Source organism: Homo sapiens, chromosome 21, assembly GCF_000001405.40.
Source record: "Homo sapiens chromosome 21, GRCh38.p14 Primary Assembly".
Lineage (NCBI taxonomy): Eukaryota > Metazoa > Chordata > Mammalia > Primates > Hominidae > Homo > Homo sapiens.
In genome coordinates, this window is record NC_000021.9 from 30976811 (window position 1) to 30985603 (window position 8793).

Here is an 8793-nt window from a genome sequence, read left to right on the forward strand (position 1 = left end):
GAATATCTCCAAGGCAAGTACCTCAACATGATACAGAATAAAAGGAAGATGATAAAAGAAGTGCTGTTTTTTAAAAAATAGCAAAACCAGGACATAGAAATGAAATGCCTGATTTAAACTAAATCAAGTAAATAACACCACCTCTGTGCTCTGTATATATTGAAAATGCATACATTTCCAATTACATATAATTGGAATGTAACAAAGCTATTTCCAACTCCCTCAAATTCATTAAAATGAGATTTTTTGCCTGTCTTCAAGAGCTGTTTCTTACTCAAATCATCCTCATACCAGGTTACTCCAAGGACCACTTAGTTTGTTCTCAAAAGTTATACATGAAATTCTATGTGATTCTTCCACAACCATTTGCAGTGACTGTTTGGTCATCTTTGGAATAACTGATAAATGTTCATATTTTGTCTCCAAAGCAAGCAAGAACAACCCCATTTGAGGGTTTGCAGCAAAGACGCTCCTCGATGGCATTTCTCTTTTGCTGTGTGTGTGTGTTTACATCTAACACAGCATGACCTTGCCCCCAAAGAGCTTTACTTCCAAGTAACACACAGCCCAAAACTCTCACTGCTGTGGTTTGAATGTTTGTCCCCTCCAACACTCAAGTTGAAACTTAATCCTCAATGTAACAGACTTAACAAGTGGGCCCTTTAAAAGGTGACACGGTCATGAGGGCTTTGCCTTCATGAATGGATGACTACGCTTATGGATTAATGGATTAATTGATTAATGGATTATTATCAAGGGACGAGGTTTGCTATCATAAAAGTGGGTCTGTTATAAAAACCAGTTAGGCCATCACTCATGTGCCTCCTTGCCATCAATTCCCGGCACCACCTCAGGATTCTATAGAGAGTCCCCAACAGCAAGAAAGTCCTCACAAGATGTTGCCCCTAGACTTTGGACTTCCCAGCCTCCAGAACTGTAAGAAATAAAATTATTTATTTATAAATTATCAAGTCTCAGGTATTCAGTGATAATAACAGAAAACAGACTAAGACACATGTCTACCCCATGTATCTGTTTTTTTTTTTTTTTTTTTGAGATGGAGTCTCACTCTGTCACCCAGGCTGGAGTACAATGATGCGATCTTGGCTCACTGCAACCTCCACCTCCCAGGTTCAAGTGATTCTCCTGTCTCAGCCTCCAGAGTAGCTGGGATTACAGGCACACGCCGCCAAGCCTGGCTAATTTTTTGTATTTTAGTAGAGACGGGGTTTTACCGTGTTATACAGGCTGGTCTCAAACTCTTGAGCTCAGGCAATCCACCCGCCTCAGCCTCCCAAAGTGCTAAGATTACAGGCGTGAGCCACCATACCCAGCCTACTCCATCCATCTTGAAACTGCAAATAAGGACAATTTTATCCCATTAAAAATAAGGTAATTTTAAAGAAAGCCAATAATTTAATTTCAGAGAATAACAGAGTAGACTAGTAAAAATAAAGGTTAACCTTGAAAATAATAATATTGGCAATTTTAAAGGCCACGAAGCTGAAGGATAAAATTTCAATTTATTTTTGAAGTTAAACCTGGCTAAGGACTACCAAAAGTATTGAGATTTTTATCAAATAGCATGCCTCTCCTCCTAGAGATATCACCACACACATTTTTCACTTGAACAGATGAGTTTTTATCTTAAAAAATAAAAGTTTAGATCAAAGCTGGGAAAATGCTTCTCATTAGAAAGAATGTAAAACAAATATTTTAATAAAATCTATCCCCTAAGACATTTCTGAGGTGATGCTGACACTGCATGCCTCAGTTTAAATTAAAACTAATATACCCAATTTCACAGATCTCTGAAACCATCTTTGATAGCAGTTACGCTATTAGTTGCTTTCCAGCTCTTGCTGAAAATATAAATAGTGAACGTCTTATCTGAATTTGCTGATGCAGGCAGTAATAGAATTCTTTTACATTTAAACAGAGAGGTACAGCTAGATTTGTCTTTTCCACTGGCTTTATTAAAAGAGATTAATATACGTATCGTCCTTTCACAATTTCCAATGCACATACATTATCTCATGTAATCTTTCCAACCAGTCTGTGAGTTTGGTAATATTATCATCATTTTTAGTGAAGTAATTAGATGCTGGAGAAGGAATGGATTTTTGCCAAATATTAATCAACTCAAAAGAGGTACGGATAGAATTCAGTAAAACCACCCAGCTTTTATAGAGTATATCTTGTCTTCCTCACATAAATGAATGAGTTACCCCCCCACCAACAAGTATACACTCATACGCAAAAGACACAGCTTGTTTCAAAAACTTGAAACAATTGGTGATTTATTTGAGAAATTCTTCAGACTTGAAATCTTTGATAACCAATTTTCTCCTTATGGCCTGTAGTCTTTGTTTGATTACTTAGTGACTTCCAAGTTAAACTGAAAGTGAAACACTCTACTGCTTGGGGGCCTGCTGGGTTCTCCAAGGACAGCCATAATGACATCATCCCCCAGTGAACCCCACTTCAATAGCATTTTTAATTTTTCATTCAAATAATACACACACAAAGTCCTAAAGTCTTTCCTAACTCCAGTGTCAATTAATCAAGCAAATAAAACTCCTTTCATTTTCATTTTTGAAATGTTTTAGAAGACTTCCTGTGATTTTCAATTTGCTTGCTAAAATTAGGTTATTCAAGAATTTTCTAAAAATATGTATTGACTTGAAAAAAACGTTGTTTAGCATTTTCCCATCCCTCTCACTTCCAATACTATTTCACAGACAGATTTCTCAATGAAAACAGCCTACTAAATTACTTAGACCTTGTGAAGAATATACAAACAGAAAGACACACAGCGGGCTTCATCAGGTGTGTGACTAAATTAAGTTGGAAACTAGCATGACAGTTGTGTGTGCACGCGCTGGAACTAGGCTGCCCGAGTTCTCATCTCAGCCTTACTATTTTTACTAACACTAAGAATTTGGGGCACATTATTTAGAGTTTCTGTGCTTCAGTTTCCTTATCTGTAAAATGGGCATGGTAATCATGGTTCTTTTACCTCATTGGTTTACTGTGAGAATTAAGGGAGTCAGTCAAGGTAAAGGTACTTTGAAAAGTAGCAGGCACAAAGAAAGTGCTATAGAAATACAATATTGACTGCTATCATTATAGCAATGCAAACAATCTCCCTCTTGATCATTCAAAGAAAAAAAAATTAAAGCATTTTCATGTTAAACACACACTCATTTTTTCCCTGCCTTCTTTCTAAGATTTTAGGTCAGGGCTTAGCAAACTGCTGCCAGTAGGCCAAATCCAGCCCACTATCTTTTTGTACAACAAGCGATCTAAGAGTGGCTTTTACATTTTTAAATGATTGAGAAGAAAAAACTAAAAGAAGAAGAATATGGCATATCTGAAAATTATATGAAATGTAAGATTCCATAATAAAAGATAACTGGAAACCCAACAAGCTTATTCGTTTACATGGTGTCTGAGGCTGCTTTTGTGCTACGAGGCAGACTGAGTAGTTGTGAGACCTCATGGCTCACAAAGCTGAAAACATTTACTATCCGGCCCTTACAGGAAAAGTGGCCAGCTCATTATTTTCTTGGTGATTGGTGTGAGCATTGCAAACTTTAGAATGTTTCTAAACTTTAGAAATATTCACTTTCTGTGAATGAAGGGAGGTGCAGATGAATCCTAAAAGGAAAAATTCAGATTCAGGAAAATCACAAGATAAAACTCAAGTACTTAGGATTGTTCCTTCTGAAGCGTTCTAGGAAAGGTATGGTGATGAAGTCCATTAAAAGTATATGCTAAACTAAATTGTATATATACTATGAGATTTGATTATTCATAATAACTAAAAATATTCCACATTCACAGCATAGATGCTCAGTTTTATGATGAAACTTTTGTACAGCAGCTGAAAATGTATAGGGCTTCATTCCAATCCCCTGCACAGCCAGCTTTACCACTTTCTTTTCTTTCATTTTTTAATGCATTGCATATTAAAGTCAAATTTTGACCTGAAAAATCAAACATTAGCTATGAGATAAGTTTACCTAGCCTGCCCACTTTCTCATTTGTCTCTGGGATTCTTCTAATTTTTTCTGGGTAGAATCAGTTCTTTCTTTTCTCAATAGCCATAATCTCATACTTAGTCTTCTCCCACAGTTATTTTATGGCACTTTATTATGGAAATATTCATATTTAGAATTTTTTTCATTGTCATGGCCTTCCTACTATTGTCTTCAACTTTCCTCATCACCGATGAAATCTTTTCTTATACTTTGGTGAGGCCAAGTTGAAGAAGAATAAAATGGAAAGTTCTGTTCATGTCTGTAGTTTTTTTCTTGCTTAAGCAATTTCATTTTTTATTATTTTAATAGAATTACTTTTCCTAATAATATGATTTCCCTTATAAGTTCATGCAACAACAACAGCTCTGGGGATATTACAGTTAATGAGCACTAGGATTCAGGAGTCCTGTGGAAAGTCACCAAAAGTCCATCAGCTCCTTTTCTTTGTCTGTGAAATGAAAACATCCAAAGAGATGGCTCTGCATTTCTATGTAACTCTGAGTTTCTAAGATTCTTGCTTTATTCACAATTCTTGTAGTTATTGGGTCTTTCCATAGATAATAGTTTCTAACATTGGATCAAACCATTTATTTCTAATTCTCCACAACTCTGTATTCTATACAATAGTTCTAAATTCTAGATTATTACATCACTTTCTAATTCTCTCCTTTACTATGAGCTTATGATTCAGATTCATCCAGCTGTGTTTGCAGCTCTATTTAGCAGGACTAGCGGTTGAATGTGAGCCCCTAGGGAGGTGAGCCCCAGGCATATGCAAACCCATTAGGGCAGCTAAAAACACCACTTCCCTTGCAGGAAGAGTGGGAGTTATTGAAAGCCCAGGACTTTTCTTGTCCAGTGTATACAAGGGAAAGTAGAGTAACAACATTTAAAATTACAAAAGTAATACAAAAATCATGCTCTTTTTAAAAATTCAAATTTTGAAGAATTAGATATAAGAGACAAAATTACCCACTTCATCCTCTTAAAATAAGACCACTCCCTTAGGCAACCAGAGTATCCTTCCAGAACTTTCTTTATGCATTCATGTGAATAAATACAGATTTATAGGTACAGATATAGATTTAGGTATCTTTTTACTCTTACAAACATTAATTTATACTACACATATTATTCTGAAACTCTGAAACTTGCAACTTTTTAACTTAATGCTACATCTTGGAGTTCCTTTCGTTTCAGGACATATAGATCTAATTGATTCTTTTTATTGGTTTCATAGAATCCTTATATTACCAATTTCTAGTGATGGATATATAAGTTATTTCTAATTTATTTAATCTGACAAATAAATAATGTTATATGTTTTTCTTTGTGCATATATGTAAATGTTCTGTGAGACAGAAAACCTAGGTTAAAGGAAATTAGTATTTTAAATTCAGGTGAAAACTGCCAAATCCCTTCAAGCATTATTTGCTACTTTACATTCCCATCAATAACATGTAACAAATGTTCACTTTTCCACACCATCTCTACCATAAATATTATTTTTGTTAGCCCAATGAATGAAAAATGCTCATTTTTTGTTATTTTAATTTGCATTTTTTGGTTAAGTTAGCTTACTAATTTTTCACATTCCCATGGACTGTGAATAGATTTTTCCTTATCATTGTCCATTTTTCTATTGGGTAATTTGTTTTATTGACTAGAGAATGCCTTATATATTATAGAAATTAATCTTTTGTTTATTATTTATATTGTTTGTCTCATTATACTACCTATATTTTAACTTTGCTTATGGGCAAGTTTAAAATTTTAAACTGTATATCTTTATGGTATCTGCGTTCTGTGTCTTAATTAGGAAAATCTTCCCCACTCAAAGGTTATTAAAATGTCCTGCATGTTCTTCTTATATTTATAGGGTGTTTTTTTCAGTTTATGTCTTTAAACCATATGGAATTTATTTTTGTATATGGCATAAGGTATAGAATAATTTTTTCAAACGTTATCGTCCATGCATCATGTATGAAACAGTCCATTTATAAATGTTTAATTACAAAAGACACATGATTCTGTGGATTCTCAATTCTATCCCATTATTTTTCTATTTCCGTGCCAAAACCACAAAAAACCACACTGCTGTGGAAAGTTCCCTCTCTTTTCTTTCTTTCCTTTTTTTTGTGAGACGGAGTCTCGCTCTGTCGCCCAGGTTGGAGTGCAGTGGCACAATCGTGGCTCACTGCCAAGCTCCGCCTCCCGGGTTCACGCCATTCTCCTGCCTCAGCTTCCTGAGTAGCTGGGACTACAGGCGCCCGCCACCATGCCCAGCTAATTTTTTGTATTTTTGGTAGAGATGGGGTTTCACCGTGTTAGCCAGGATGATCTCGATCTCCTGACCTCGTGATCCGCCCGCCTCAGCCTCCCAAAGTGCTGGGATTACAGGCATGAGCCACCGTGCCCAACCCAAAGCATATTTTTACTTGAAGAAAAATCTAAAAAAAAAAAATTTATTGGAATTACATTGAATTTATAAATTAACTTGGGAAGAAATTACCAGTTTACACTTCTGCCTTCCCATCCAGAAATACTGTGTATTATTCATCATTTCTTTTATGTTTTTCAATAGAGTGTTCTAATTTTCCTTGTATGTTTCTTAGGCTCTGAGGTTTATCCTTAGGCATTTCAGTGTTTCTGAGGTTCTGCACTTATTCTTAGGCATTTTGGTATTTTTATTATTATGAATAACATCTATTTTTATGAGCTACTCTTAGACATCAGTAAATTTGTGATCTCAGTGTTTGGTCTTACATTCAGGCAAATCAATGAATTATCATATTAGTTCTAAAAGCTTTTTGGTTTGTCTTTGATTTTCTAGGTAGAAAATCATACCAACTACAAATGATTGTGGTTTTATCACTTCCATTTCAATGTTTGTACACTATTTCCCTCTTGTCATGTTTCATTGGCTGGTATCTGCAGTACAATCAGGAGTAATAATAGAGCTCTTGATTTTAATTAATGTGCTCCCCGTGTTTCACTATTACATGTTTGCTCTTTTGGCAGATACCTTTTATCTAAATTTAAGAGGCTATTTCTTCCTAGTTTTACCAGGAATATCTGTTGAATTTTTATAAATTGCTTTTTCTGTACCTGGCAAGATAATCATGTAATTTTTCTCTTTTTCTTTAATAAACTGAAAAATGCTAATATATTTCATAGTATAGAAACATGCTTTCATTTCTGAAATAACTGTTCAGTCCTGATGTGTTATTCCTTTTGATCATCACTAGGTTTCATTGGCAAATATTTTCCTTCGAATTTTTAAATTTATTTCTGTAAATAAAGTTAGCCTGTGATTTTCTTTTGTTAGGCTGAATTTGTTCAGTTTGGAAATCAAAATTAAAATCATCAAAGAATAAACAAACAAGCAAAAAATATTTGTGAAAAATTTACAGAGGACTCTGGTTTAAAGTTTCTGTTCCTGTAGGAGTCTAATCCTGTAACACTGACAAGAAAACTATAGGAAACTGAGATTTTATATACCTGTAATTTGCTGTTGCAAATTATAGGTGTAACCCAGATATTAAACAGGTGATACTGGCAAGGAACAATCAGAAACCAACTTTATTATTTTCTCCCCCTGCTAGTCAAGGCCATTTTGTGTTGCTGATTCTCTTTACCTGTGGATGAAATCTTGTCTTGCTCCTGGTAAAATCTTGTATGAACCCCCATAGGACATCCCTTCACTCTATGGTTACTAACTGCTCTCTATTCACTTGCACTCCTAAGGGTAGTTTCATTTCAGTAATTAAATCTAACATCTTGTGTAACAGTCAAACTCCAAACTTTATTTCAAAGTGAGAGGAGGAAGGGCCTCTGCCCTGAATACCTCACCCTCCAAGCTGTGGCTTCTAACTCCTCTAGGACCAGAGCCAAAGAGGAGAGAAGAGGTAAGGAGACAGGAAAGAACTCACTTGAAGGGCATCTCTGTGATCTAGCTTTGGTTCTTGCTGGTGTTTAATGACAATGCTGCTGTGGGATGCTTTCTGTCTTCTTTGGACAACATCTCCAAGCTGGGGATCCCTCACCTCTAGTTCTCTTGATGAGTATAAACGTATCTTCTTGCTTATAGCTTAGAATTCCTCCTTCAGTCCTGGCATCTAGTGGCACACCTCCAACCCCACTCTGTTGATATTTTCTTGCTCCTCCTGGAAGCCCTGCTGGCAGGATCTAAAACAACTCCAAGCTGCTGCCCTGACATGTGGCCTTCATCTGGCCCCCAGGTGACAGAAATGTCTGACTCACCATCAGACGGAGGACACCAGACCCAAACACAGCCCTGTCCTCAGCTGCCACAGCTGGTCCAGCCAGCCTCTCACCTGTGAAGGTTTTTTTGTAGGCATATGTTATGCACCGCAGGGTTCACAGCTCCAGCTGTGCAAATAAACCTCTTCAAGCCACCTCTCTTACCTTGAAAAAAGTGAATCATTTTTAGGTTAGGGGGTGAGGAGTGTGCAAGAGAGGTCTGGAGCTTGGGTGAAAAATGAAACTCAAAGCCCAAGTTTTCCCAAACCAATCCTCTCTCCAAACTCCAGGTTCTTCTCTCAGACTCCCCAACCTCTTTTATGGCCTTGTGTAGGAGGTCAGCTAAGGGCCACGAAACAGGATTTTGGCCCCTCCTTTGCAAGTTCCAGGGACTCTGGAGTCCCAGTCTTCCACTTTGGAATGTGGGAGTCGTTGAGGCATCATCTTGGAACTATCAACCAAAAATGAGATAGGAAAGAGTATTCGG